Source organism: Homo sapiens, chromosome 17 (genome assembly GCF_000001405.40).
Source record: "Homo sapiens chromosome 17, GRCh38.p14 Primary Assembly".
Taxonomy (NCBI): domain Eukaryota; kingdom Metazoa; phylum Chordata; class Mammalia; order Primates; family Hominidae; genus Homo; species Homo sapiens.
In genome coordinates, this window is record NC_000017.11 from 5,418,919 (window position 1) to 5,446,477 (window position 27,559).

At 46.7% G+C, this 27,559-nt stretch overlaps 4 protein-coding genes across 18 annotated transcripts in view, besides 11 other annotated features; 1 reads left to right on the forward strand and 3 right to left on the reverse strand.

The window, feature by feature from the left end:
* The window catches only part of NUP88 (nucleoporin 88), a 34,830-nt gene extending 34,086 nt beyond the window's left edge, over positions 1-744 (reverse strand). For both annotated transcript variants that reach the window (NM_002532.6, NM_001320653.2), the window contains exon 1: positions 436-744. In NM_002532.6, the coding sequence (NP_002523.2) occupies positions 436-732 (297 nt within the window). In that variant the 5' untranslated portion in view covers positions 733-744. The remainder of the gene's footprint in view (positions 1-435) is intronic.
* Positions 106-745: an enhancer, noted in NCBI's record as "active region_11570". NCBI's record gives its function as "activates an Ori minimal core promoter by ATAC-STARR-seq in GM12878 lymphoblastoid cells {active_cell/tissue: GM12878}" and the evidence as "EXISTENCE:reporter gene assay evidence [ECO:0000049][PMID:35858748]".
* Positions 106-918: a biological region, named in NCBI's record as "NANOG-H3K27ac hESC enhancer GRCh37_chr17:5322619-5323156".
* Positions 381-918: an enhancer, noted in NCBI's record as "NANOG-H3K27ac hESC enhancer chr17:5322619-5323156 (GRCh37/hg19 assembly coordinates)". NCBI's record gives its function as "activates a minimal SCP1, AML or CMV promoter by ChIP-STARR-seq in naive H9 embryonic stem cells {active_cell/tissue: H9 hESC(naive)}" and the evidence as "EXISTENCE:reporter gene assay evidence [ECO:0000049][PMID:30033119]".
* Positions 919-1,456: an enhancer, noted in NCBI's record as "NANOG-H3K27ac-H3K4me1 hESC enhancer chr17:5323157-5323694 (GRCh37/hg19 assembly coordinates)". NCBI's record gives its function as "activates a minimal SCP1, AML or CMV promoter by ChIP-STARR-seq in naive H9 embryonic stem cells {active_cell/tissue: H9 hESC(naive)}" and the evidence as "EXISTENCE:reporter gene assay evidence [ECO:0000049][PMID:30033119]".
* Positions 919-1,535: a biological region, named in NCBI's record as "NANOG-H3K27ac-H3K4me1 hESC enhancer GRCh37_chr17:5323157-5323694".
* Positions 1,186-1,305: an enhancer, noted in NCBI's record as "active region_11571". NCBI's record gives its function as "activates an Ori minimal core promoter by ATAC-STARR-seq in GM12878 lymphoblastoid cells {active_cell/tissue: GM12878}" and the evidence as "EXISTENCE:reporter gene assay evidence [ECO:0000049][PMID:35858748]".
* RPAIN (RPA interacting protein) lies at positions 1,264-13,959 on the forward strand. 12 transcript variants are annotated; one of them, NM_001033002.4, is made up of 7 exons: positions 1,264-1,373; positions 2,378-2,548; positions 3,851-3,911; positions 7,053-7,164; positions 7,318-7,381; positions 9,153-9,293; positions 13,624-13,959. In NM_001033002.4, the coding sequence occupies exons 1-7, from the start codon at positions 1,293-1,295 to the stop codon at positions 13,651-13,653; spliced, it is 660 nt and encodes a 219-aa protein (NP_001028174.2). In that variant the 5' UTR covers positions 1,264-1,292; the 3' UTR covers positions 13,654-13,959. The 12 variants fall into 12 exon arrangements, 7 of the variants coding, with proteins under 7 accessions (NP_001028174.2, NP_001153716.1, NP_001153715.1 ...); NR_027682.2 differs by lacking the exon at positions 7,318-7,381; NR_027683.2 differs by lacking the exon at positions 7,053-7,164.
* Positions 1,316-1,535: an enhancer, noted in NCBI's record as "active region_11572". NCBI's record gives its function as "activates an Ori minimal core promoter by ATAC-STARR-seq in GM12878 lymphoblastoid cells {active_cell/tissue: GM12878}" and the evidence as "EXISTENCE:reporter gene assay evidence [ECO:0000049][PMID:35858748]".
* C1QBP (complement C1q binding protein) lies at positions 13,859-20,237 on the reverse strand. Its single transcript, NM_001212.4, has 6 exons — positions 19,924-20,237; positions 19,205-19,355; positions 15,955-16,048; positions 14,751-14,849; positions 14,375-14,497; positions 13,859-14,246 (listed from the first exon to the last, which is right to left on the reverse strand). Exons 1-6 carry the CDS (start codon positions 20,153-20,155, stop codon positions 14,097-14,099), a joined length of 849 nt encoding a protein of 282 aa, NP_001203.1. The 5' UTR covers positions 20,156-20,237; the 3' UTR covers positions 13,859-14,096.
* Positions 19,904-19,953: a silencer, noted in NCBI's record as "silent region_8069". NCBI's record gives its function as "represses an Ori minimal core promoter by ATAC-STARR-seq in GM12878 lymphoblastoid cells {active_cell/tissue: GM12878}" and the evidence as "EXISTENCE:reporter gene assay evidence [ECO:0000049][PMID:35858748]".
* Positions 20,064-20,233: a silencer, noted in NCBI's record as "silent region_8070". NCBI's record gives its function as "represses an Ori minimal core promoter by ATAC-STARR-seq in GM12878 lymphoblastoid cells {active_cell/tissue: GM12878}" and the evidence as "EXISTENCE:reporter gene assay evidence [ECO:0000049][PMID:35858748]".
* Positions 20,212-20,394: a silencer, noted in NCBI's record as "fragment chr17:5342450-5342632 (GRCh37/hg19 assembly coordinates)". NCBI's record gives its function as "represses an EF-1alpha promoter that drives an FKBP-Casp9 reporter gene in an ReSE screen in K562 erythroleukemia cells {active_cell/tissue: K562}" and the evidence as "EXISTENCE:reporter gene assay evidence [ECO:0000049][PMID:32094911]".
* Positions 20,454-20,633: an enhancer, noted in NCBI's record as "active region_11573". NCBI's record gives its function as "activates an Ori minimal core promoter by ATAC-STARR-seq in GM12878 lymphoblastoid cells {active_cell/tissue: GM12878}" and the evidence as "EXISTENCE:reporter gene assay evidence [ECO:0000049][PMID:35858748]".
* Positions 21,999-27,559, reverse strand: part of DHX33 (DEAH-box helicase 33) — a 28,066-nt gene continuing 22,505 nt past the window's right edge. For all 3 annotated transcript variants that reach the window (NM_001199699.2, NM_020162.4, XM_017024877.2), the window contains one exon: positions 21,999-25,595. In NM_001199699.2, coding sequence (NP_001186628.1) covers positions 25,287-25,595 — 309 coding nt within the window. In that variant the 3' untranslated portion in view covers positions 21,999-25,286. The remainder of the gene's footprint in view (positions 25,596-27,559) is intronic.

Genomic DNA, 27,559 nt, shown 5'->3' on the forward strand with positions numbered 1-27,559 from the left:
GACTTCCTCCTCCATGTCAAGCATGAAGCGTGGTGCTTTGAAACCTGCAACCTGACTTGCTGTGCACAACGCAAGAGAAAGTTACGATCTAACCTATTATAAGCGTCACATCAGGAAACAGGTTTCTCTCGACGAAACTAAAAATAGCAACTCCGCCCACTCGTTCTCAACCCCTTTAGCCCGCTTTGTTTTTCTCCAGAGCACTCATCCGTCACTAGTATTTTTATTGAATATTCAATGACCCTTTCCTTCCTCCCAGGCCTCCAGGCCGTAAGCATCGAGAGAGCCTGAGTCCCCGCGACCGCGTATGGCAGCGTCGGAGTCAATCCGCTGGAACGCCTGCCACAAGATGAAAAACAGCCAAGAGGAGCAAGGAACAAAAAAGACTGGTTCCGATCCCGGTGAGGGTCACTTCCAAGATCGGCCTGGCATTACCTGGTACTGGGACAGGGCGGGCTCTTCGCCGCCGCCGCTGGGGCCCCGAAGGCGAACGACTAAGAAGGAGCTGTCTTCTCCGTCCCACAGGAAAAGCTCTCCGCCGAGGCCAAAGACCACGTTTCTCGTCAGCAACTGCGGCGGCGGCGACGAAGGCAACGACGAAGAAGCTGGTTTCTCAGCTTCGGTTGGACTCTGGTTTTTCAGTCCCTCCCGGAGCCGCAAGAACACGACGTGGTTAGGAAGCCAGGTCTGCCACAGCTCGCCGTCGCCCACCGGTCCCTCGGCGGCCGCCATCTTGGCCCAACTGCTCCCCTCACTCCAGTTGCTCAGCCCGCCGCTGAGCACAGCCAATCCGCGGCCGTCCACTCACTGTTTCGGCCAATCACCGAGCAGACGGCCCGGAAGCTCGAGAGGCTCGTGCCAGGTCGGGGGGCGAAGGCGAGGCCAGCCCACCAAGCAGGGGCGTCACCAAGGGAAAGCCAATCACCATTATTTCTGAAGCCCAAGGGGGCGGGACGAGAAGTCAACATAATGGTGGTGCTGCTGGAAATCTAGCACCTGGGGAGAGCCTGAGACTTGTGTATCTAATTGCCTATTGGACACCTCCATCTGGGTAAACCCAGGCATCCAGAACTTTCCCTCAAGACTTACCTCCCTCAGTGCAGGTCGGGCTGGCCTCACGCATTTCGCTTGGATGCCTAAATCTGTCTCCACGTGGGGCCGGTCGATAAAACAACACTTCCCAGAATACGCTGCGATCCATTCGCGGTCTGCACCCGGAAAGTACACCTCCCAGGGGTCTGTGCGCGCCTCCAGGGAACGGGTCTTGTGGCTTTGTCTCCCGCGAAGAGGAGATGGCGGAGTCGTTGAGGTCTCCGCGCCGCTCCCTGTACAAACTGGTGGGCTCGCCGCCTTGGAAAGAGGCTTTCCGGCAGGTGGGTATGGGGTTTGTGCAGTGGTCTACCCTAGATCGTCCCGGTGACCGCCGTCTTCCCTGCCTTCGCCTTAGCCCTGCTCCGTGGAGCAGGTGCCGCAGCGCGCCTGGTCTGGTCAAACCCAGGCCTGCTGACTGTAGAGTGTGGGATTAGCCCGGGTCGGTCAAGTCCTAGAAAGCCTTGTTTTTGGATTCGATTTTGTTTTGAATTTAAATTGTGGTCAGGACATCACCGTTTGCACCTCTGCAATAACACTACCTACTGTTGCTGCGGAGGTGGCCACCGAGAGAGGCACTTTGTCTACGTTCGTCTTGTGAGATAGAGATGATTTCTATTCTAGAGAGTAGTAAAATGAGGCTTAGAAGAGGGCTCCACCTCAGTTCTGGCCTCTTCTGAACACAGTGTGGTTATTAGTAAGTAATGTCCAAGAAAGTAACCCGACGCAAGAAAGATAGCAGATACAGCAGAGTTTCTCAGCCTTGACAATGGACATTTTGAGGGAGATATTTATATGTTGTGGAGGGTTGTTTAAGCCACGTCTCGGGCCTCCACCCACTAGATGCTAATAGTCCTATAACTAGAATTGTGACAACCAGAAATGTCTCCAAGCATTGCCAAATGTTCCTTGGGGGACAAAACCTCCCTGAGTTCAGAAACGCTGCTGTGCAGGAAGGCCGTTACCCAGCCATATCTAGAGTAGCAAGAATTTGGAAGGAATATAAATGTTCTGTAATAGGACATTGGATGCTGAGATATTATGCACACAACCATTAAGGAAACTGGCAAGCTAGAATAAAAAATATGGTTCTTTGTAAATACGTGTACAAAGCATTGTAATTTTATGTATCTCTACAGAGGAATATGCAAAAGTAACACTAGTTAGTATTATCATTGAAATTTTGTGTCTATAAACTTTCTTTAATGTTTTCTCAACTAATGTAAGAGTGTTTTTTAAAAATAGAAATGCTTTTTTTTTCCCCCCCAATCTTGCTCTTTTTTCCCAGAGATGCCTGGAGAGAATGAGAAACAGCCGGGACAGGCTCCTAAACAGGTACCGCCAGGCTGGAAGCAGTGGGCCAGGGAATTCTCAGAACAGCTTTCTAGTTCAAGAGGTGATGGAAGAAGAGTGGAATGCTTTGCAGTCAGTGGAGAATTGTCCAGAAGACTTGGCTCAGGTCAGGCTGGGCTATGTGTTTTCAGGGAGGGGGACTGCACCACCAAGAACGGCTCGTGTCCTCTTTTATTTGTTTACTTGAGTCCTCTAAACCCACCATTCCCCTAACCCCATTTAGAATTCAACAGCCTTTAACCCAGGCTTTTCTACACTTAATGTTAGACTTGTCTAGATGAAATGGTCTGAAATACCAGACCGTAGACCTGCTCATCACTGCAACATCATCATTTATGAAACTAAAAAGAAAGAAATTTCATTTCTTGCCTCCACCCTTGGAAATTATGATTCAGTAGGCATAGGCTAGGAATCTCTTTCTCTCCCTCTCTCTCGCTCTTTTTTTTTTTCTGTCTTGCTCTGTCGCCCAGGCTGGAGTGCAGTGGCAAGATCTCGGCTCACTGCAACCTCCACCTCCTGGGTTCAAACGATTCTCCTGTCTCAGCCTCCCAAGTAGCTGGGATTACAGATGTGTGCCACCATGCCCGGCTAATTTTGTTTCTGTTTTAGCAGGGATGGGGTTTCACCATGTTGGCCAGGCTGGTCTTGAACGCCTGACCTCTAGTGATCTGCCCACGTCAGGAATCTCTTTCTAAAAAGGTCTCCAGAAACTTTCCGATTCTAATCTCAGCCAACGTTGGCAGCCATGTGTGGAAGGGAAAACCATTTATAGTGTATCAGGAAGAACACTGGATTCGAAGTCAGGAGTTCCAGAATTCAAATCCTGGTTTGGCTATTGACTGTTAACTTCAGTTTGCCTCTTTGAGGTTTAGTTTTCACATTTATAAAATGAGAAGATAATGTTTTCAGCATTGTAAGGACTGTGTAAGAAAATGTGGGCAACTGTTTGAAACCATCAACACCCTGTGTAATAATGATGCATTATTCAGTGGCTTTTGTGTGTCCTGCAGTACACCAATGTTTGCCTTATATCACCACAACTAGTACTCACAGTAACCCTCTTAGATAGATTTTATTCCCACTTTACAGAGGCCAAAACTGAGATTTGCAGAGATTAGGAACTTTTCATGTGGTTACGTAGCCTTGGAAGAATATGTACCTAACTGCTACCCTATATCGTCTCTCCAAAATTGGGTACCATTATTTTGTCACTGGATAGTTGGATCATTTGTTGATGGCTTGTCAGCATGACAGCATTACCCCACTGTCAGCATATTCTGCAGGAGGACTGGACTGATTTTGTCCAATAAATCTGGGTTCTTCAAGCCAGCCTCCAAGTATGAATCACTGTGGGGCTTGGTTGGTGATTAATACTTCAAACTTCTGATGCCGCTCCTTTCTCTTCCAGCTGGAGGAGCTGATAGACATGGCTGTGCTGGAGGAAATTCAACAGGAGCTGATCAACCAAGGTAACCCCTAGTGGTAGTCCTTCCTTACCTGTATTTAGCTACTGGAATACTGTGACCTTTCCTCCAATCAGGATTAGTTTATAAGTCCCCTTTGTCTACCTCCATCAGTCAAGTGTCCAAAAGACTCCTTTTGTACTCTGACATCTTGGCTGTCTAGCTTCTCAATAATAAGGGTCTCCAGGGTGCTAGACCTTGTGCTAAGAACTTCTCATTTAATGATGCTGTTTTCTCCATGTGACTGCCCTGTAAGATAGTAGTATTAGAACAGAAGGTGGTTGGTGTTCTCGTGCAGGTCATACAGCTAGTAAGTGGAGGAGATGGGAAGCAAAATCAGTTGTATGAATCCAGTTCCCATGTTTCTTCTACCATCCTGCCTCTCTATTAATGGGTTAATAGTTCACTGAGGGTGGTGGCTTATGCCTGTAATCCCAGCATTTTGAGAGGCTGAGGCAGGAGTATTGCTTGAGGCCAGTTCAAGACCAGCATGGGCAACATAACAAGATCCTGTCTCTACAGAAGTAAAAAAAAAAAAAAAAAAATTATCTGGGTGTGGTAGCAAATACTTGTAGCCTCCCTCAGCCAGAAGGCTTAGGCAGGAGGATCACTTGAACCCAAGAGTTTAAGGTTACAGTGAGCTATAATTTTACCACCTCACTCCAGCCTGGCTGACAGAGGGAGACCCTGTCACTTTAAAAAATAAAATAAAAAAAAGTAAACCTGCCATTTTACAGGATACAGTGATAGTGCATGGTCTGATCCCTTGCCCTATTCATTTTAAGTGCCACATTCTCTATTAACTCCCCAGGGCCTGTGAGCATCCACTCCTTGAGGGAGGTGTCCATAGCATGGTGTAGAGAGCATAATTTTGTACCTTATATAGTTAAGTCATTTATTCCATGTAGCCCTGATTTGATTAGGCCTTGTTTGGTTTTTGTTTTTGTTTTTTTTGAGACAGGGTCTCTGCCCAGGCTGGAATGCAGTGGCGTGATCACGGCCCACTGCAGCCTTGACCTCCTGGGCTTAAGCGATCTTCCCACCTCAGCCTTCTGAATAGCTGGGATCATAGGCGTGTGCCACCACCCCTGGCTAATTTTTTTTTATTAATTTTTTTTTTTTAGCTAAAGATGATAAAAACAAGACAAAAAATTATTTTATTTATGTATTTTTTTTTTTTTTGAGATAGGTTCTTGCTCTGTTGCCCAGGCTGGAGTGCAGTGATGTAATCATGGCTCACTGTGGCTTCATCCTCCTAGGCTCAACCAATCCTCTCATCTCAGCCTCCCGAGTAGCTGGGACCGCAAGTGTGCACCACCATACCGAGCTAATTTTTTTATTTTTTTGTAGAGACAGGGTCTCACTGTGTTGCCCAGGCTGGTCTCGAACTCCTCCCTGGTCTCAAGTGATCCCCCCACCTCAGCCTCCTAAAGTTTTGAGATTACAGGCATGAGCCAAAATGCCTAGCCTAATTTTTTAAATTTTTTTGTAGAGGCAGGGTCTCACTATGTTGCCTAGGCTGGTCTCAAACAGCTGGACTCAAACCATCCTCCTACTTCAGCCTCCCAAAGTGTTGGGATTACAGACATGAGGCATGGCCCCCAGCCTTAGGCTTCATTTTTATGACCTATAAAATGGAGAGAATACCCTATAAATTTGTTGTAAGGCTTAAATAACGTGTGTAGAAGACTTAGTGCATTGTCTGGCATATAGAGAGCTTTCAATAATCAACAGCTATTATTATGGTGAGGCAAGAGCACAAGCTCTTGAGTCATACCTCTAACATTCACTTGGCTTTACTACTTTAATTTGTGTGGCACCGACCAAAGCACTTAATTTCCCCGTGCCTCAGTTTCTTCACCTTTGAAATAAGGATAATAATAGTGAAGAAGTTAATATATGTAAGGAATTTAAAATAGCATTTGACACATAAGTGCCATGCAAGTGTTAGTTGTTAATGACTGTTGCTGTCGACTCTGGTTAGACTGTAAATTCCTTAAGTTATCATCTTTTTTTATTGATTTTCCCTTCCCCCACCTACAAAACCTATCTTAGTGGTGAAACATAAGCCTGACCAAATGTTTTATTTTGGGGCATACTTAACTAATAAGTCTGAAGTGACAAGGATTTACTGTGTTGTGCTGTACTCAGCCATAAGGAACATTCTAAAGCAGAAGTTGGCAGACTTTTTGTGAAGAGCCAGATAGCAAATACTTTAGACTTCACAGACCATGTGGTCTCTGGCACAATTTCTCAGCTCTGCAGTTCTAGTGGAAAAGCAGTTATAGACACTACATAAACAAATAAGCGTGACTGTAGTTTTTTGACCCCTTCCCTAATGTCTAGACTGTGAGCTCAACAATGACAGTCTTTTTCATCTTTGTGCCCCTGTGACTAGCAGATACTAGGTACTGTTGTATGTTTGCTGAATGAATGAGCACACAGATTCTGAACAACACAGATTCCAAGTATGTGGAATCAGCAGGGTCGTCCTGGCATCAGAAATCAGTTCTCTCTTTTTTTTTTTTTTGACACAGAGTCTCGCTCTGTCACTCAGGCTGGAGTGCAGTGGCGCAATCTCGGATCACTGCAACCTCCGCCTCCTGGGTTCAAGTGATTCTTCTGCCTCAGCCTCCCGAGTAGCTGGGATTATAGACGTGCGCCACATGCCTGGCTAATTTTTTGTGTTTGTTAGTAGAGATGGGTTTCACCATGTTGGCCAGGCTGGTTTCGAACTCCTGACCTCGAGTGATCTGCCTGCCTCAGCCTCCCAAAGTGTTGGGATTACAGGTGTGAGTCACCGTGCCCGGCCAGCAATCAGTTCTCTTTGTCAACTTTATTTAGTTGCCTGTGGGACCCTGACATTCTGTATCTGTGCTCCTATGGCCTCTGGAGATGTGTGTGAAAATTGTCTCCTCGGCCCTTAGCCTACTTCACCTCTTGTGCTCACAAAAAGGGGACAGAGAGGAGGGAGAGGAATCCAGCAAGATGAAGCCAGCCTGAGAGAGCATAAAAACCAGTCATTGGTATTGTGGTCTTGCCCAAATCTTTCCCTCGTGTGAAGGAAGCCTTTGACAGTGAAGTTTAGAATTAAATACAGGGCCAGCTGAAGCATGGTGAAGCCCTCCAACTGCCTTTGCCTTGCAGAGCAGTCCATCATCAGCGAGTATGAGAAGAGCTTGCAGTTTGATGAAAAGTGTCTCAGCATCATGCTGGCTGAGTGGGAGGCAAACCCACTCATCTGTCCTGTATGTACAAAGTAAGAGTTTTTAAAACCTTTTCAGCATTATTCGTTCCCATTCCCCACTCCAAGGTGAGTGGAATCTCCCCCCAGATTTGTTGCCTGAAATTCAAGGTTTGGAGATCCAGGTCTGGTGGCCATGATGCTCTGGGATCCTAATTCTGCTTCTAGGTACAACCTGAGAATCACAAGCGGTGTGGTGGTGTGTCAGTGTGGCCTGTCCATCCCATCTCATGTGAGTGTTCCACACACAGATTTCATGATACTTCTTCCCACATGGATCTACTTTCTTGAAGATCCTCCAGTGCTGACTTGGAGCCCATTGTGCATATTTCTTCCCAGTTTTATGTTCAGTGGTGTCACATTGGTAGCTTCAAATCAGCCATGGTGAGAATATCTATGGCATGAAAATTGGCAAACAGTACACATCAGAGCCTTTAGGGCCCTGGAGAGCCATCACCGCTTAACGTTTTTATGGAGACCTCAGCTTGGGATTGGTAACGCCTGTATCTGACGTTTCATAAAAATTTTCTATATATGAAGACATACCTAATTCAGAATTTAAGCTTCAGTAATTTTTTTTTTTTTTTTTTTGAGACGGAGTCTCACTCTGTTGCCCAGGCTGGAGTACAGTGGCGTGATTTAGGCTCACTGCAACCTCTGCCTTGCGGGTTCAAGTCATTCTCCTGCCTCAGCCTCCCAAGTAGCTGGGATTACAGGTGCCTGCCACCACGCCCGGCTAATTTTTTTTTTATTTTTAGTAGAGATGGGTTTTCACCATCTTGGCCAGGCTGGTCTCGAACTCCTGACTTCGTGATCCACCCACTTCAGCCTTCCAAAGTGCTGGGATTACAGGTGTGAGCCACCACGCCCGGCCTTCAGTAATCTTAAAATACAGAAAAAGCCCTTTTATCTGGCATGATGGGGACTGCAAGTTTGCCAGTTAATTGAGCGATTGGTTAAAGAGGCAAATTATAAAAATAAAATGTTTTATGGTAAGTTTCAAACACATAAATTTATTTGCCAGCCTTTGAGTGGGGCCCTGCTGATTGGAGAGCTGAGTCACCTGTTTTATTTTTTATTTTATTTGAGACAGAGTCTCACTCTGTCACCCAGGCTGGAGTGCAGTGGTGTGATCTCTGCTCACTGCAACCTCCACCTCCCGAGTTCAAGCGAATCTCCTGCCTCAGCCTCTTGAGTAGCTGGGATTACAGGCACGTGCCACCATGCCTGGCTAATTTTTGTATTTTTAGTAGAGACGGGGTTTCACCATGTTGGTCACGCTGGTCTCGAACTCCTGACTTCAGGTGATCTGCCCACCTTGGCCTCCCAAAGTGTTGGGATTACAAGCGTGAGCCACTGTGCCTCGCTGAGTCACCTTTTTTACATAAACAACTTCTATAATACATAGTCCAGAGTTTCCGGTTTTAATTCCATAAAGTGGATCAAGAAACTGAGTATACAACTTAGGAATTTTTCCTCCCCATCTTTTACCTAATTCTATAGCTCTTTTTCTTTCTTTCTTTTTTTTTTAAGCAGCTCATCTGTTTGTTTCCTAAACATTCTACTTATCACTATAAAAATAAAACTTATTATTTACATAATAAGTAATTAGCATTACTGAGTTACAGTAGGAAGTTCAAGTAACCCAAGCAGACCCGGGAGCATATACTGCTAGTTGTTGGTAAGGATGCACTCAGCTGGTGGGGGCAGAGGCAGAGGGAGGCTGGAAAGTAGCCTACAATCTCTGAGCGTTCTTCCTGCCATGAGTGGCCATCAGTGTGTTTGACAGCAGGAGTAGAGGGCGTTGGTTAATCTGGAGAGGCAGTTAAATGGAGATGGGTTAAGAGATCTTGGTACAGTCATGGGCCCGAGTGTCTTTAAGGCTCCAAGGAGTCAAGCCATCACAGTGAGCCACGGTTATATTGGTTGGCATGAGGAATGAGGATTTTCCATCTGTTGGCTATCAAGTCACTGAGAGGAGGTTGAACTTTTTTATTTTGTAGTCTTCTGAGTTGACAGAGCAGAAGCTTCGTGCCTGTTTAGAGGGTAGTATAAATGAGCACAGTGCACATTGTCCCCACACACCTGAATTTTCAGTCACTGGAGGAACAGAAGAAAAGTCCAGTCTTCTCATGAGCTGTCTGGTAAGCGTCTCCTGGGACCCACTCTGTGGTAAGAGGGACCTGTGGTTGGTTTTATTCCCACCTTGATAGAAATAATGACCTATAAACAGGTAAATGTTTAATGCAGTTTATTATCTGAGGAATTTACCTGCATAGAAAAGTGAAGGTAACAAGTCATTTAGACTCAAAGGCCAGTCAGAAAGAAGGGAAGAGGCAGCATGGGATCACGGCAAGAGGATTGGTCTGGGAGTTAGGACGCCTGGCTCCACACCTGCTCTTCTTTGATCAGTAGTAGTGGTTTTGGATTCAGCTGGTCATTTCATAGTCATAAGACCCAGATAGGCCATGCTGGCACCACTTTTGCGGAAGGAAACAGGGCAGAAGCATAGCAGGGCAGCATTAGGTTTGTCTGTCAGTGGAGTTTTTACAGAGGTCCAAGGGCTATTCGCTAACCTGAGTGACAACTGAGGTGTGAGGGCCAGGAACACAAGTGGGTAAGGGAACCACCTGTCTTAGAAGCGTGCTATAGGAACCAATATCTCTTATAATCCATGTCCTTTCCATATATGTGTATGTATGTATGTACATGTGTATATATATCACACAAACACACATAAAACCAATATGATACGTATTATTATTGCTTTTAGATCCCAGGCAGGGGGAGCCTTGGGATTAGGAGCACACTGTACTTCAGGAAGTTCATAGCCATGGCTTTCTACTGGGAATTTAGAATTCCTTCATGGCCCTGTCATTCCAAATGCAGTTAACCTACAGAGGTCATTTTTATTATAAGCAGCATTGCCTGGTAACAGCCATTTCACCTTTATCAAGTTTCTTCCATAGGTATTCTACTCATTCATTAAAAAAAAAATGAATTGAGGACTCATTAACATTGAGAAATACACATCTCTCACAGAGCTCAAGCCTTGGGTTGGTAATAAGAGAACAGAATAAACAGGCAGTACCCTGGAGAGCTGTACAAGGAGGGCTTATGGGAGTTCAGAGGAGGGTGATCTCCTTTATGGTGACACCTTCCTGGAGGAGGCATTTAACTTGGCCTTGAAGCATGGAATCGATCTGGACAGACATGGAGATCTGGTGAGTTGTGGGGGTAGAGCTTAAGTGGAAGATCCCCACATAGAAGAACAAGGCAGAGAAGCAGGAAACTGGAGTATATACAAAGAGCATCTTGTTCTACTTAGCTGGAGCATTAGGTTCATGAGGGAGAGGATAGTTCCTGTTAGGAATAGGAAACAGATTCAGAGAAGTGATGTAATCTGGCCAAAATTTTACTACTAATAAGCGATAGAGCTGGTGTTAGACCCCAGGTCTTTGTGGTTCCAGTGCCCCTGCTGTTTCCTGCTCCAGGCTCAGGCCTTGGTGGAAGGATGCCATTTTCCATCAGCTTGTATGGAAAGAGACATAGCAGGTGAAAGTTTAAATAAAACCCCTCACTACTTCCTGTTGACTACAAGCATATGTTCCCTTCTGTTCCAGCTATCCAGCACTGGTAGCAGATGCTCAAATATGCAGTGCTTTCAGGCCTCTGTGCTGTTGTTTAGGCTGTTCTGTCTGAATGACTTTGACTCCTCCCACTACATTTAAGGATCATTTGCACAAATATTTACCAAGCACTACAATATGCCGTGTACTTCATTCAGCCTGATTCCTCACAAGGAATTGGCCAGTCTCAGCTGGCCACGGTGGCTCACGCCTGTAATCCCAGCACTTTGGGAGGCCGAGGTGGGCAGATCACCTGAGGTCAGGAGTTTAAGACCAGCCTGGCCAACATGGTGAAACCCCATCTTTACTAAAAATACAAAACTTAGCTGGACATGGTGGTGGGTGCCTGTAATCTCAGCTACTCGGGAGGCTGGGGCAGGAGAATCGCTTGAACCCGGGAGGCGGAGGTTGCAGTGAGCTGAGATCGTGCTGCTGGATTCCAGCCTGGGCAACAGGGTGAGATTCTGTCTCAAAAACAGAATTGGTGGCTGAGTGCGGTGGCTCACGCCTGTAATCCCCACACTTTGGGAGGCTGAGGCGGTCGGATCATCTGAGGTCAGGAGTTCAAGACCAGCCTGGCCAATATGATGAAACCCTGTCTCTACTAAAAATACAAAAAAATTAGTCAGGCATGGTGGCACACACCTGTAATCCCAGCTACTCGCGAGGCTGAGGCAGGAGAATCACTTGAACCCAGGAAGCGGAGGTTGCGGTGAGCAGAGATTACGCCACTGCTCTCCAGCCTGGGCAACAAGAGTGAAACTCCATCTCAAAAAAAGCAAAACAAACAAAAAAAGAATTGGCCAGCCTGGGAAGTCCATTCCTTTGGAGTCTGTGTTACCATTCTCAATAAACCTAATGAGGGCTGGCAGAGGGGAACTGGCCAGTCTCTCCTTGGGCTTTCACCGTACCTCATGCCATGTCACCTGTAACAGTGTTGTAGTTACCTGCTTATGTCTTTGTCCTTGAGGGCAAGGCCCATATTTATTTTTATTTCCAGTGCTTGGCATATATTAATAAAGAGGTGCTTAAGATGTTTGTACAAATGAGTTAAGGTGGAGGGAGGAGAGTTGAGGCACAGGTCAGCTGGCTTTGGCTTCTGTCTTCTTAGTAAGGTGAACAGTGAGTCATCCACACAGATTATAATGGTAGCAGAGCTGGAGTCTACAGCTCCTTGAGTATGAAAGTCCCCTTGAGTGTGAAAGACAAAATGCTGGTCGGGGGAAGAGAAGGGGAATTAAAAGGTAAGTGGAAGATGGCCTAATTGCCAAGTGTACAGCTTCAGCTCAGCATATAATTGTTATGGACCCCAGTTATCCACTCACCTAACCGTCAGTGCCCTGTGGCTCAGAGCAGCAGTGAAGCTAAGTAGGAGGTGAGGTTTGGAAGGTGAGTGCTGTGCAGCAGTCTTGGAGATCATAGTTGACAGTGCCGGCTCTGGGGTGGGCAGGAAGACCATTGTTGGGTAAGTGAGGGGAGGTGGGGGTCACAGCAAATATGAGAAACACAGCCAGGCACTGTGGTTCACACCTGTAACCCCAGCATTTAGGAAGGCTGAGGTGGGAGGATCACTTGAGGCCAGGAATTCAAGACCAGCCTGGGCAACATGGTGAAACCCTGTCTCTACTAAAAATACAGAAATTAGCTGGGTGTGGTGGCTCGCACCTGTACTCCCAGCTACTCGGAAGGCTGAAGTGGGAGGATGGCTTGAGCTCAGGAGGCAGAGGTTGCAGTGAGCTGAGAGGGCGCCATTGCGCTCCAGGCTGGGTGACAGCGAGATTGTGCCTTAAAAAAAAAAAAAAAAGAGGAGGGGGAAAGACAAAATTGTATTCTGTAGGTCTTGAGTTCAACATTTGGAAAGGTAGACATTTGGAATGCTCTAGTTCCACTAGACCTTTGGTTTTCACTTAAGGGGGAATCAAGGACCATTGTGTTAGAATCCAGTGAGGTCAGGACGTAGGGACGCTCAGGACAGATGGCTGAGGATGTGTTGAAAGATAGGGGTGGGTTACAGAAGATTGCACTCTATCACAAGACGAGGAATGTTTCGGATGTGGCGGTGCTCAAGTGGTGGTCCTGGGATGGAATATGCCAAACCGCCTATTAGCAGAGTTACAGTGTCTTTTAGAGAAAGCCAAACATATTACCTGTGGAAGTGGTAAGAAACAAGAGTAACCCACTTATGCCTACTGTTTAATTATTGGAACGCTAAGCCTGTGGGAGTTATTGATCCCCTACTGCTCAAGGTCATCGCCAAGGTCTGATTTTTCACACAAAAAAATTTGCAACCTCTGGCATAAATGGGTTAAGGACAGACTGGATTCCTTAGCATAGTGGAGAGGCTGAGCCACCCAGGAGTCGGGAGGCAGTTTTACACTCAGGTGCTTACTGATCATGTCTTTACATGTTTTCTGCCCGTACTGATCATGCATGGTTTGCACCTCCCCTATGATACATACCTGCTTCAATCTTGTGTAGATTTGGAGTCTCATCTTCCTGCTGGGCTCTAAAAGCTCCAGGCTATCAAGAGTTTGAATACAATCTTTCTGGTCAGTGGTTTCCTGATGGTGAGGATGTTTGATTAGTTCATCTACAGGATTTGATCTTAGCTTGAAGACTATTGATGCTGATGGTTCCCAGGGCAGTTGTTTGAAGGCTGCAGGACAGAGGTCCAGCAATGCCAAAGAGGGGCGGTCATCATGACAAACTACACTACTGAACTAATTGAAACTGGACTCAGGAGACCTCATCTAATGTGTAGAATTCTCATTGATTACAACTTTTATCAGATATCTTTCATGACTAGAATACAATTTAAGCTAATTATTTTCCTGTTTAAACCTAGGCCTGTGATACTTGGGCTGTGATCCTCTAGAGCCAGCTTGGACTCACATCATTCTATGGGGTTGAAGACAACTCATTCCCTCTGAGGAGCCTTGTACATACAAGCCTTTTATTTATAACTTATTTTGTATTGAAACTTTTAAACAATACTGAAGAAAAAAAAACTTTTCCGACATCTGTTCTTGGTCTTTTGTGACGCAGGTTGAAGGGGGAGGAATAGAAAAAGACAAACTGCCTTGGAGGAGATAAACCAATTTTATGTCTATCATGTTATACAAAAATCTAGAAATAATAGATTTGTACAGAAAAAAATGATAATAAATGAGAACACAAAACATATAATTTAAATTTGGTATTTTTTCCCCCATGATATTAGGATGATAATCATTTCAAAGCACATGTCTAGCTTCAGAGTAGGATTTGTTCACTGGCCAAAGCCTGCCATGAAACTATGGCTTTCAGCATCTGTCTGCTCTACTGGCTCTTGACAAAACTCTTGAGGTCTTCAAGAAAAGTAATGTACTCCTGGTGCTCCAGGGCTGTGCTGAGCTCCACCAGCTCATCTGCAAAAGTGTTGTCCACCCCTCGGTCGGCAAGGAAATCCATTAGGTGGTCATATAAGGCCTGCAAAGAACAATATTTACTAGTTAAAAAAAAATCTGTAATGAACATTAAAATGCTTTTTTCTCCCCTTGAACTAGGACCCTTCCTTCCAAGGCCCAAAAGGTTCCCCCACCTTATCAAGCACTCACCCAGTCCAAGGAATCTGTGTTGAGTGTATAATTAGTATCCTTCCATTCAGACTCGCCAGTGGACTGAAAGCTAACTTCCCTGATAGAGAAGATGTCACTCTCAGCCTCGTCTTCTTGTCCAACCTGAGAAGAAACAATATTGGGAAACTGAAGGGTTCTCCAGGACAAGCTAGACTCAGGGGAAGAAAGGGGGCCACTGACAGCATGAAACTCATCAGGTTTTAACCCTCTTCCCTCACTCCCCACCTCTCTCCCCCTGCTGGGCTGGTCTAAGCTAGAAAAGTGTTTAAATTTCTGCTAAAATAGGGACAGGAAGTTCCCAAGGGACACACTGTTCCCCAGGGGTGCCAAGAGGCTAGCACTCCATCCTGCATACCTCATCCTCTGGATAATGACAGTCCAACACAAGGGCCTTCTTGCCATCATCATTCTTTATAACTTCAACCACGAAATTGGGAGTTGATGTCAGTTCAGGCTGGGGAAACAAGAAGTCAATACATGCTGCTGCTGGAAGGAGATGGATGGCTGGATCAAGGATCTCTGTTCAGAGTGTCTGATGGCCACCACTATTAGGATATTATGTAGCCATTTGAATAGTCTTATGCCATACTATTCCCAAATGAAGAGCTTGATCTCACTTCTGTTGGCACCCTGCTTGGTTAAATAACACACTGGGTTTTCAGTTAAGAAATGTGGATACCAGCCTCAGCTATGTGCCAATTAACTGAGTTTATATCAGTCCCTTAACATTCCAAGCCTTTTCCTCCACCCGTACACTGCAAAGCTTTCCTAAAGTTTCAAGATCTCTTTCCAGCTTGACTGTTCCAGGAGTCTTCATAAGGGACCAGGGTCAAAGGCTGGGGAACCTGGCCATCCTTATGGCTGAATAACAGCAGCAGCTTTTCCTCTGATGCGGAGCTCTGGGAGCAGACTGGGTCCAACGTCAGGGAGATGCTAGTTGGGGTGGCTGGGAAAGCAGCACACCAGAGAGCTGCGCCGTCCACACCAGGTCATGACCCAACACTGTACTGATGGCTCTTGGGCAGAATGTCTAGGGACTCTGTGGCCCTCATACTGGCTGGTTACTAGGCTGGGCACAGCACTTCCTGAAATGTTTGAAGAGTAGGCATGATCCAGTTAAAGTCTCTTATGCCCCTGCCATTCTCTCTCTCTTTTTTTTTTTTTTTTTTTTTTGAGACAGAGTCTTGCTCTGTCGCCAGGCTGGAGTGCAGTGGTGTGATCTTGGCTCACCGCAACCTCTGCCTCCCGGGTTCAAGCGATTCTCCTGCCTCAGCCTCCCGAGTAGCTGGGATTACAGGGACCTGCCACCATGCCCAGCTAATTTTTGTATTTTTAGTAGAGACGGGGTTTCACCATGTTGGCCAGGATGGTCTCGATCTCTTGACCTCGTGATCTGCCCGTCTCGGCCTCCCAAAGTGCTGGGATTATAGGCGTGAGCCATGCGACTGGACTTAGAGGAATTTTTTTTTTTTGAAAGACCAAAGAAAAACGCTCCTCCTCTAAGCCCCAGGCACAGCCTGTCAGAACTGAGGTAAAAGCTGATTATAGTATTAGCTTACCTCCTGTTCTTCAACCTTCTGCCCTTGCGAGGGTTCCTCCTCACCATCAAATGTTGGTGGGATGCTGTTGTTAATGTTGAAAGTGACCGTGATTCTAAAACGGCAAGGGAAAACAGACAAGGCAAAACAGACAAGGCATGGTTTTAACCGAGCAGGTTAACACATAAACATGGAAATCTGCTACAGTTAAAAAGGCGTATTGAAACAATGTCTCTGTCCTAGCTGGCTGAATTATATGCAGAACTTCAAACTAGGCTGGGTGCCTACATCCAATCCTGAGTGACTCAGCAGGTCTGAAGTGTGCCTACCATGTACCAGCTGCTGGAAGCCAAAGCTGGCCTCAGTTTATCTCAGCCAAACAAGTCATGCATGGGTTACTCCCAACAGGGCCAGTACCCCAGGGCTCACTGCCATGTGCTGACTGGGCATCTCATGGCCACAGCCAGCTGACACTGCCCACCCTGGTCTTTCCAGGGAACCCTTGGTCAAAGTAAGGACCTGAGAGGCTGGTGAGATGGAACAGAAGCCCCTTTAAGAGACTTTCCCCGTCAGAAAATTTGCCCTGCAAGGAAAGGAAGAAGCGATGGAGGGTGCCTCTGCTAAACACCGAGAGCAGCCCTGGAACGGGGAAGGGAATGCCTCACAAAGAACAAGGGCTGTAGTAGAGACTCATCCCTTAGAGTACTTGTGGGAAGTTTCATAATCACAAAGCAGGCCAGACACACCAACTAGTGACAATTTTAAGGTGCAAGAATCCACACCTGACAAATCATGTTCCAAAGTTTGAGTCAAAATTCTTGGGACATAAGGTTTAGAACCAAAACTGCTGGGCTATGCAACTCTGGCAGGCACCATTCCACACAAGAGTACATGAAGGCTGGGCGCAGTGGCTCACGCCTGTAATCCCAGCACTTTGGGAGGCCGAGGTGGGCAGATCACGAGGTCAAGAGATCGAGACCATCCTGGCCAACACGATGAAACTCCATCTCTACTAAAAAATACAAAAAAAAAAAAAAAAAAAAAATTAGCTGGGCGTGGTGGTACGCGCCTGTAATCCCAGCTACTCAGGAGGCTGAGGCAGGAGAATTGCTTGAACCTGGGAGGTGGAGGTTGCAGTGAGCCGAGATCACGCCACTGCTCTCCAGCCTGGAGACACAGCAAGACTCTGTCAGAAAAAAAAAAAAAAAAAAAAGAGTACATGAAGTGCCGCCCTCCACTTGTGCTAACTAGCTGCTCTGCCAGGAAGCCACCTTTCCATGGCAACAGAGGCAGTCTGAGGTTGACAAAATCTGTCTAATTCCAACTGTGCTGACTAAGCTGAGCTCCTGGGCACAGAAATTGAATGACGTTCATCAGAGCATTATTTTTAATGGCCCCCAAATAGCTATGAAAACCTTGCGCAAATGGTGTTTAGGTGAGATTACAGAAGACACAATTGACCTGTGTAGGGCAAAAACACACTATGCAACAGGCAAGAGAATCAGGACCCTACTTCACACCATATTCAAAATGAATCACAGACCTAAACTAAGAGCTAAAACTAGAAAACTTTGAAAAAATTAAGGCATACATCTTCACAACCTTGGGTTAGGCAGTGGTTTCTTAGACGTGACACTAAAAAAGCACAAGTTGCACTTGGTGAATTAGAAGCAAAGTAAAAAATAAATAAAAAAGCACAAGCGACCAAAAAAATAGGTAAACTGAACTTCCTCAAAATTAAAAACTTTTGTGTCAGAGGACATTACCAAGAAAGTGAAAAGGAAACCCACAAGATGGGAAACAGTACTTACAAATCATTAATTTGATAAGATAGTTGTACCCAGAAAAACTTAACTTTTACAACCCAACAATTAAAAAGGTAAATAGGGTGGGCAGGGTGGCTCACACCTGAAATCCCAGCACTTTGGGAGGCCAAGGCGGGCGGATCACGAGGTCAGGACTTTGAGACCAGCCTGGCCAACACGGTGAAACCCTGTCTCTACTAAAAATACAAAAATTAACCGGACGCACGCCTGTAATCCCAGCTAAGGAGGCTGAGGCAGGAGAATTGTCAGAACCTGGGAGGCAGAGGTTGCAGTGAGCCAAGATCGCACCACTGCACTCCATCCTGGGTGACAGAGCAAGACTCCGTGGGGTTGGGGGGGGAAGCTACAAATTGTATGACTCCATTTATATGAAATGTCCAAAAGAGGCAATCCCATAGAGAAAGTAGCTTAGTGATTACCTGGGGTGGCTACAGGGAGGAATAATGAGTGACTGCTAATAGGTATTGTTTGGGGATGACAACAGTGTTCTAGAATTAGGTAGTGATAACTGATGCATAATTCTGCGAGGACTAAGAACCACTTAATTTAATAAACTTCAATAAATGGGTAAATCGTATGCCATCTCAATTAAATCTCATAAAAGCTGTGATTTAAAAAAATTACATACACATCATAAGGTCAATTATGAAGGAAATTCAATTTATTTATTTATTATTGAGATGGCGTCTTGCTCTGTTGCCCAGGCTGGAGCGCGGTGGCGCGATCTCGACTCACTGCAACCTCCACCTCCCAGGTTCAAGCGATTCCCCTGCCTCAGCCTCCCGAGTAGCTGGGACTACAGGCACGTGCCACCATACCCGGTTAATTTTTACTAGAGCCAGGGTTTTAGTGTTAGCCAGGATTTTCTCCTGACCTCATGATCTGCCCGTCCCAAAGTGCTGGGATTATGGGTGTGAGCCACCGCGCCCAGGCTCAATTTAAAAACCTGGAAGATGCCAAATGTTTATCTGTGTAATGAGATTATGGATGACTATAATGCAGAAAAGTGTAAACACTTTAACAGTTTAGGAGATGATGGGGGAGCTGACTTAGGTCACAAACTCCCCACCTCTGATGGCAGCCCTTACTACAGTGTAACCCCATCCTGTTACATAGAAGTTACATATTTTTCATTTTCACCCATACTAAACATTAGAGAGCAGTGTCCTATTTTATCAGGGCTGTAAATCAGAGATCAAACTGATTCTGCCAGTACTTTTTTGCACTACATTTTTGTCTCCTTAGTAACCAGCCCACAGCAAATTTGTGTTCGGTGAATGGACTGCCTGGGGCTTACGAAGTTGTCCAAATGAATCCTTCACTCTCTTGAAACCCATTTATCAAAGTATCCACACCTGAACTCAAGGCTCTTCTGGGGATGACCCAGGATGGGTCCTGCAAGGTTAAGGGAGTTGCTGCCCTGGGATCCCCAGACCAGTACTTACTTTTCCCCGGCAACTTTCCGCACTAATTTCGCTTCTGTCCCATTCAGTTCCAGCTCCCAACCTCCAGACATCTTAGGGAGGGTTTTATGCTTCTGAATTTTTCTTTCCTCCTTAATTTCATCACTCAGGAAATCAACAAAAGCTTTGTCTCCTAGAAAAGAAATCCAGATACATAAAAAGGAAAGCCAGTTAGTCTAAAACATAAAACTATTACCCAGGTTATTGCAGCCAGAAACCTGGACTGTTTCTAATCTCTCTGCTATTACGGTTACTCTAGAAGCCTGTTTCCTTATCGGTAAAAATACCATAATAGTAGTAGGAAGCTGAGCCTGATTCTGGAAAAGTGATTTCCAACAATGAACGCATTACCACTTTCCGCTATAAACCAGGAGAATTTCCAATCCTCTTCCACTTGCCAAACGATATAACTATGCTATTTTCAACCACGACCATGGGCCTTCCCAAAGGTCCACTTTCGATAGAATAAGACTAAGGAAAAAGGTACCCTAGTATTTAATTTTATTCACCCCCTACCAAAAGAAAACGAAACTGCTGGATAGGGGAGGTGGGGGAAATATGATCATACGTGGGTTTAGCCCGCTGGTTGCCAATCAATGGAAAAATGTCCCAGACCTCAGAGGTCGGTTGCAGGCCCTATTCCTGGTCTACGTTTTCCCTCTGTTGAACGCAAACCACACCCCCGGCCCGCTAAACCTCACCGTCGGTGTGCAGCGAGCCGCAGCCACAGCCACAGGCGCAGGGTCCGCGAGGCCGCAGGAGGCCCGGCCGCCGCTCGGAACCTGCGCGCACGCTGAGCAGCCCGAAGGGCCGGGTGCACAGCCGGGGTGCCGGCTGCAGGAGCTGCCGGAAAGGCGAGGCGGGCGCGGCAGCGCGGAGGCCGGCGACGGAGGAGCCCAGCACACGGGGCACGCAGCGCAGCAGAGGCAGCATCGCGGAAACGACTGCGAACACGTGCAGATGCAAAGGACAACCCAGGCCTAGGCGCCCCGCGACCTGAGGCGCCGCCGGAAGCCCCGCCCCTGCCCGGAAGCGCTTCCCGCGCCGGCGCTCTGACGACCTAAGGCCAGCGGGCGGAATCGCGCCCTCTGCTGGAGACTCCGGTGCAGCCCGGGAAGCCTCGAATCCGGATTCCGGAGCTTTCTTGCTGCGCTGCCGAGTCCGCTGTCCGAAGCTGTTTAATTCCCTCTAGTGGCCGCTTACCCACTTTCCACCTGCTGTTCTCAAAGCACGCAAGGCTTTTGGGCTGCGTGGAATGCACTCTTGTCTCCCGCCAGCTCTCACCAGACCCTTCCACGGTCACTTTCCTCTAGGAGGCTGTGGTGTTATGATATATATATGTATTGGTTTTCATCCACAGTTCCTGGGTCGTAACTCCTATAGCCCTTGTTACAATGTTCTGTGATAATGTTGGGTGTGTTAGGCCTCAGGAAACAGACTCTCCCCTTCTCCTGCCCTCCTTTTACCTGCCCCAAAGCAGGACTCTAATCTCCTTCCACATTTCTGATTATGGGTCTTAAGTCCCTTCCCAGAGAAGGTCCCACCATATACCCTGGGGGAAGGGATGCTGATGTCCAGAAGCTTCCATAAAAACCCAAGAGGAGAGGGTTTGCAGAGCCTCTGACAGCTGAATACGTAGAGGTTCCTGGAGGGTGGTGGCCCAGGGTAGGCAAGGAACCTCGGAGCTTCTTCCCCATTCCCCACCCTGCTCATCTCATCTGTATCCTTGGTCATATCCTTTATATGAAACCGGTGAATGTGTTTCCCTGAGTTCTGTGAACTGCTCCAGTGAGTTAACATAATCCAAAGAGGGGGGTCGTGGGAACCCCAACTTGAAGCGGGTTGGTCGGAAGTTTCAGAGGCCCAGACTTGCCATTGCTGTCTGAAGGTGGGGGCGGTCTTGGGGACTGAGCCCTCAACCTATGGGATCTGACACTATCTCCAGGTAGATACTGTTGGGATTGAATTGGAGGACACCCAGCTGGTGTCTGCTGCTTAGTGTGGAGGGGAAAAACCCAAACCTTTGGCCACATAAGTCTTCTGTGTTGATTGTTGTGTTGTGAGAGCAAAGGAAAGTCTGAGGGTTTTCCTGAAAGAGGCCTTCTAGAACCTTTTTTTCCACCGGCTCGGAACTCATGCTTGTGCGCACCCAGCCCATATGCTTCATTCTCTTTTCAACAGGAACCTCCTAGCGTTGCTGCTTTAACCAGGTTAAACCCAACCAGACTGTGACATCCTCAAGGGCAGGATCCATGATTAATTTTTGTGACCTTCCCTCTCTGCACCTCCAACCTTGCATCCAAGTTCTAATGGAACATCATTTTTCTGGGGACAAGAAGCCAGCTTATATCATTTAGATAAGTCCAGAGGCTTCCATAAAAACCCGAGGACAGGGTTTGGAGAGCCTCTGATAGCTAAATACATGGAGGTTCCTGGAGGGTGGTGGTCCAGGGACGGCATGGAGGCTGGGAGCTTCTTCCCCATTCCCCACCCTGCTCATCTCCTTATCTGTATCCTTGGTCATATCTTTTGTATGAAACCGGTAAATGTGTTTCCCTGAGTTCTGTGAGTTTCTCCAGTAAATTAATATAACCCAAAGACAGGGTTCAGATTTATTAAAAATCAACAATCCTACCTTCCCAGGATATACAGGACATATAAGCTACTAAGAAGGTATGTCTTACTAACTCATGGTAAGACTAACACTTAATATTTTCTAAATAATTTTCTATGAATAATGGAAAAGAGATGCAAGAAACAAGCCACACACATCATATACAAGATTCATTTTTAATGGATTTGATCGTCGGGTGCAAATTTGAGCATTATTTACAAGAGCTTTCTGTAGAGTTATTTCTGTTCAAATAAAACCAGACTCTCAAAATACAACATAAGCCTGAACCTACTTGATTTTTTTTTCTCCCTCTAGTTACCAAGGAATATCGTATCTCAGATGCATGGCCTACTATCACACTGGTCTTTAAAGAAAAAAAAAAATGCATGGCCACAGTTCCAGGCAGTTCCTGGTAGCTGGATTTAGTGGATTTATATATGACAGTACAGTACATCATCAGTTTCACCCACAGGGCAGAACTTGCCTCCATTCAGGCATCTCTTTACAACTGGCAGCAATGCAGCATTAAGGGTTTTTAGCCAGGACCTGCTGTTTGCAGTCCTGCCCCTTGTAGTGTTACTCTGGGTGTTGCACACTCCATGATTACTAGAAGACAAACACCTGAGGCATGCAATCTGCTTGGAGTGCATCTATTTACATGAAGCTGCTCACGGGAGCTGGTGATTCTTCCAGATATGGGTTTCGTAGGTTGGCAAAGAGTTATCACACCATCAGAGATTTTACCAATGGAAAGAGAGTAGCTGAAGATTATATTGCAATGTTATTGTGAAACATTTAACTTTCTTAAGTTTAAAGTGTACTATCTCCTGCAGCTCAATATAAACAACGATGTATTTCTTTGTAGCAGTATGTGGAGTCAGAATGGGTTTTCCAATCTGATTTAATCCCTGAGCAGCTATGTTAAAAGTTAACTTTTTAAAAAAGCCCAATAAAAAACTAAATACTGTATTAAAACTCTACCACAATGTTACAGGGATAAACTTATTTCTGTACAGAAACATTAAAGCTACTTAGAAGCTGTTTACATCCTTTGCCTCTCAGAAAAAAAATATACATTTCCGGAAACTGTTCAGGTACTTAAGCTGGACATAAATTACCCCAAGTTTTTTCTTTTTCTTTCTTTCTTTCTTTTTTTTTCTGAGACCGTCTCACACTGTCGGCCAGGCTGGAATGCAGTGGCGTGATCTTGGCTCACTACAAACTCTGCCTCCCAAGTTCAAGCAATTCTTGTGCCTCAGCCTCCCCGGTAGCTGGGATTACAGGCGTGTGCCACCATGCCCAGCTAAGTTTTCTATTTTTAGTAGAGACGGGGTTTTGCCATGTTGGCCAGGCTGGTCTTGAACTTCTCAAGCAATCCACCCACCTCAGCCTCCCATCCCAATGCTGGGATTACAGGCATGAGGTGATCCGCCCGCCTTGGCCTCCCAAAGTGCTGGGATTACAGGTGTGAGCCACTGCGCCCGGCCACCCCCCAATTTTTTTTTTTTTTTTTTTTTTTTTACCAGCACTATGAATGATTAAAAATACAATATTTTTCTTACTAAGTAGGACTAAACATTCTAATCCCCTACTGGAAAACAAAAAACAAAAAACAAAAACTGGAAAACTTTTCAGAAAGTCAGCAGTGGTAACAAGTCAGTAAGTGGAAGAACTGGTTCAAAGTTTAAGAATTCAGTAAGATAAGGTATATAGGAGCTGTCAGATCTTCTTTTGCCCACGTATAACCATTTCTGACAGACAGCCCTAAACACTAGCTGAGAGCTTGACTGCACAGGACCACGGCTAGTGTTGGAAATAAAGACTGAGCCGGACTTGACATACACAACTCCGGACAGATGGGACCCTGGAATGGGGCTGCTCCATCAGGCCACAGCTTCCAGAAAGAGAGCATCCATGATCTCTGAAGAGCCTCTTGGGCAGCTTGGCCCCTGGTTATAACTATGATTCATTCATTAAGAAATGACAAAACACCCCACAGATGTATTTGGACCAAGTAAGCACAATAAAAGAGCTAAATCACGGCTTCTTCTAGGGCAAAATATTATCTGGGGAAAGATTACTTGCTTCTGATAATTAAATAGCTAAGAGGAACCGTTAGTGCCTTTTCTCTGCTCAGAATATCAGAACAGGAACAGACTGTGGATATCCTCCAATTCCCTCTGACAATGAGGGTTAGAGAGAGGTGCCTAGCAGTTAGAAAGCAGCAAAGCCAGATTGTCCCAAGTCCCTACGAAGAAGGAAAAAATATCATAGAAAATTAATAAGATGCAAGAATAAGTGTTACAGCTCTAGCTCTTTTAGAATTTGTCCAGCAGGTCTTCTAGACTTCACTGAACTGCCCCCCACCCCCCCCGCCCACACACCAAAAAAGATACAAGAATGTAAGCCCAGATGTGGTGTGGTATCTGGCATAAGCCAATGTTCTCTGGGTTCTAGGTACCCCTCTCCCCTCCCCCACCCCCACCCCCTCTGACCAGGGGACTGCCCGAAAAGAAACAGCTGAAATGGTACACAGTCACTCCTCATGCCCGCATGTTCACTGGTGCCCAGTTAGAGAGAAAAATGGCAACTGTGTATGTGGGAGTCACCTACACACACAAAACACTGATAGGTCAGTTTCCCATGTCTACACGTGACAGGATTCAGAAGGTACAAATCAACCTTCACCCAGGAAGCTTACATGTCTCCTGAAAGCACTGACAGGGTCACGCACTGAGGACCAGGAGGCTCCTTTACTGGTCTCTGCTTGGAGACAGACACAGAGTGGTCCACCCTGAGACACAAGCGTTCAGTAGGGATCGCCATCCCAGGAGGTACGAGATAACAGCACCTCCCTCTGGAAACTTCTACAGAAGTCAGTTTTGTTTTCTATTTTAAAACTGCATTCAGAGAGACATTAAACAAGAACTAAGGGCAACATCCAAGCTCCGCAACCTCCTGTGGCCCTTCCAGAAAATCTCCCTCAGTCACAAGAACTTGGGATATTGCTGTACTTCACATCATATGGCAAGCAGTAACATTCAGCCTAACGGCTCCCAACTCACTGTACGTGTGTCGTGCGTGCTCCAGGCATAGTTCTGGGTACTTTCCATTCCTTTTCTCTAAACTTTATGAACCCAATTTTATAAGGATTATTATTATTACTCCCATTTGGCAGATGAGAAAACTGAGGCTCAGGTGTTAAATTAAGTCAAAGTCACCCAGTAAGAACCAAAAGCATAATTTTGAGGTTTCCAGGTACAAATGATATGTCCATGTCTATATGGTTCAGTCCCAGGAGTTGAGCAAAGATGCTTTCACGCTCCTGGAAGTCAGGCACCTTCAGCTGATTCCAAGGCTTCTCTAAGCGCCAACCTGGAAGCCTGCTGTAAGGACAACTGTAGTCCAAGCTCCCAGGGACCAGTGATTCTGGCGGCATCCTGGGGCGGCTCAGTTTCTGGCGGTTCTCAGCTTCCTCCTAAAGTACTCAGGGGCAGCCTCGTACAGCCACTGTGCATCTATGACGCAGAGGTCCCGCATGTAGCACTTGTTGGTGTAGAGCAGCTCAGTGTACACGACGCAGGCCGGCTTGCAGTGGAAGAGGACAGACGACGGGTGGATGGCCACTGGCTGGTGGGTGTCCGTGGTGGCATAGGTGCCATCTGGCTGAAGCTCGGCGGTGCTCATGAAGAGGCTGTGAGCCAGGCAGCGGCGGACACTCTCCACGTCTCCTCGGGATGATGCGATTGGCATTGACATCTGTTTCGGGAGAAAGCGAGGAATGGAGCCGACCCCACACGTAAACACTGGTCAGCACTACACAGCGTGTTGGGGCAACTGGACCCACTGGGGCAAAAGCAGCCCACATTGTGAGCCTAACGATGTGGATTCTGACATTCGGAGGTGGTCACCAAGGATCAGCAAGGTCAGGGGAAGAAGGCCCAGCTGGAGGAGCACGGACCAGAAACAGGGAAACTACCGCCTGTGAAGGTAGGGCTGGGAGGGAGGTGCTCACATTAGCCACCAGACCACAGGCAGGTTGGGTGACCCACCCCTCACCTAAATTCCATCAGGACGGCCCGGAAAGGAAAGGCCCTTCCCTCTCGCTTTGACCATCTCACCATCTCCTCACTCCGATTCACCCACCTGCTGCTGCCAAGCTAATCTACCTAAAGCACAACTCGAATCACTCTTCATCCACTCAAATACCTTCAACAATGTCTCTACTGCTCCTTGCAAAACAATGCAAACTTCCCGTGGTGAAGCCACGAAGGAGCCACCCTGAGCTGCTCGCCTGTCTTTCCTCTCACCGCTCTTTTTCTTTCTTTCTTTTTTTTTTTTTGAGGCTGAGTCTCCCTCTGTCACCCAGGCTGGAGTGCAATGGCGCAATCTCAGCTCATTGCAACCTCCACCTCCCAGGTTCAAGCTATTCTCCTGCCCTAGCCTCCCAAGTAGCTGGGATTACAGGCGCCTGCCACCACGCCTGGCTAATTTTTGTATTTTTAGTAGAAACGGGGTTTCACCATTTTGGTCAGGCTGGTCTTGAACTCCTGACCTCAAGTGATCTGCCCGCCTTGGCCTCCCAAAGTGCTGGGATTACAGGCGTGAGCCACCGCGCCCGGCCTCACCACTCTTCTTTAGACACTCCATGGTCCCCCATAGCTGGCTGCCTTCTCTTTCCTCGCCCCGTTTCATGATTCCTATCTGTGCCTTCACATTTGCTACTCTTAGTAGAAATGCTGCCTGTCTCATCAGAGGAAATGTCAGTCACCAGTCAATGTCCTTGTTCTACTGCTCTTGATGAGTGGGGCATGTAACCTACGCCCCTGGGCACAGATGAACAAACCAGTGGTACACACACGCTGGACCTAAGCTGGCCAGCTTTTCTCTTCCAGGCATCTTTTAGGTTTGAAACTGGAAAACTTGTCAATCTCTGCTGGGCTCTTGAGTGGAGGGGCCATGCAGAGAAATCACTTCCATGCGGAGGTAAAGGTGAGAAAAGGGAAGGAGGCACGCAGAGGGCACTCAAAGCAAGAGAAGCAGCAGGTCCAGAGAAAGTGGCGGGCCTGGCTCCTGCAGGCTTTTTCTGGTTCCTGTGACTCTATTTCCTGCCTATCGGTTCTCAGAGATACCTTTCCATCCTTGGAAGAATCTTTATTTTGTCCTTTATGATGGCTCTAGGGTTTCTGTTGTTGACAATCAGCTGATCTATGCCTGAAGAAGATACTTTTTTTTAAGAGACAGGGTCTCACTCTGTTGCCCAGGCTGGAGTGCAGTGGCACAATCCCAGCTCGCTGGCAACCTCTGCCTCCTGGGTTCAAGCGATTTTTGTGCCTCAGCCTCCTGAGTAGCTGGGGTTATAGGCATGCACCACCACGCTCAGCTTAGTTTTGTATTTTTAGCAGAGATGGGGTTTCACCATGTTGGTCAGGCTGATTTCGAACTCTTGGCCTCAAGCAATCCACCTGCTTGGGCCTCCCAAAGTGCTGGGACTAGAGGCATAAGCCAGCCACCACACCTGGCCTGGAAGATACTCTTTTATCTCCTTATCTGTCAAGATCTAGCTCAGTTGTCACCACCTCCAAGAAGCCCCAGAGGCTAACTGGTGGTCTCTCCTTCCAGACTATCAGCTTTACCACTCACTGGCTGAGTGATTTGGGGCAAATTATTTAACCTGATTAGGCTTAGTTTCATCATTTGTAAAATGGGAATAACAAAAGAAT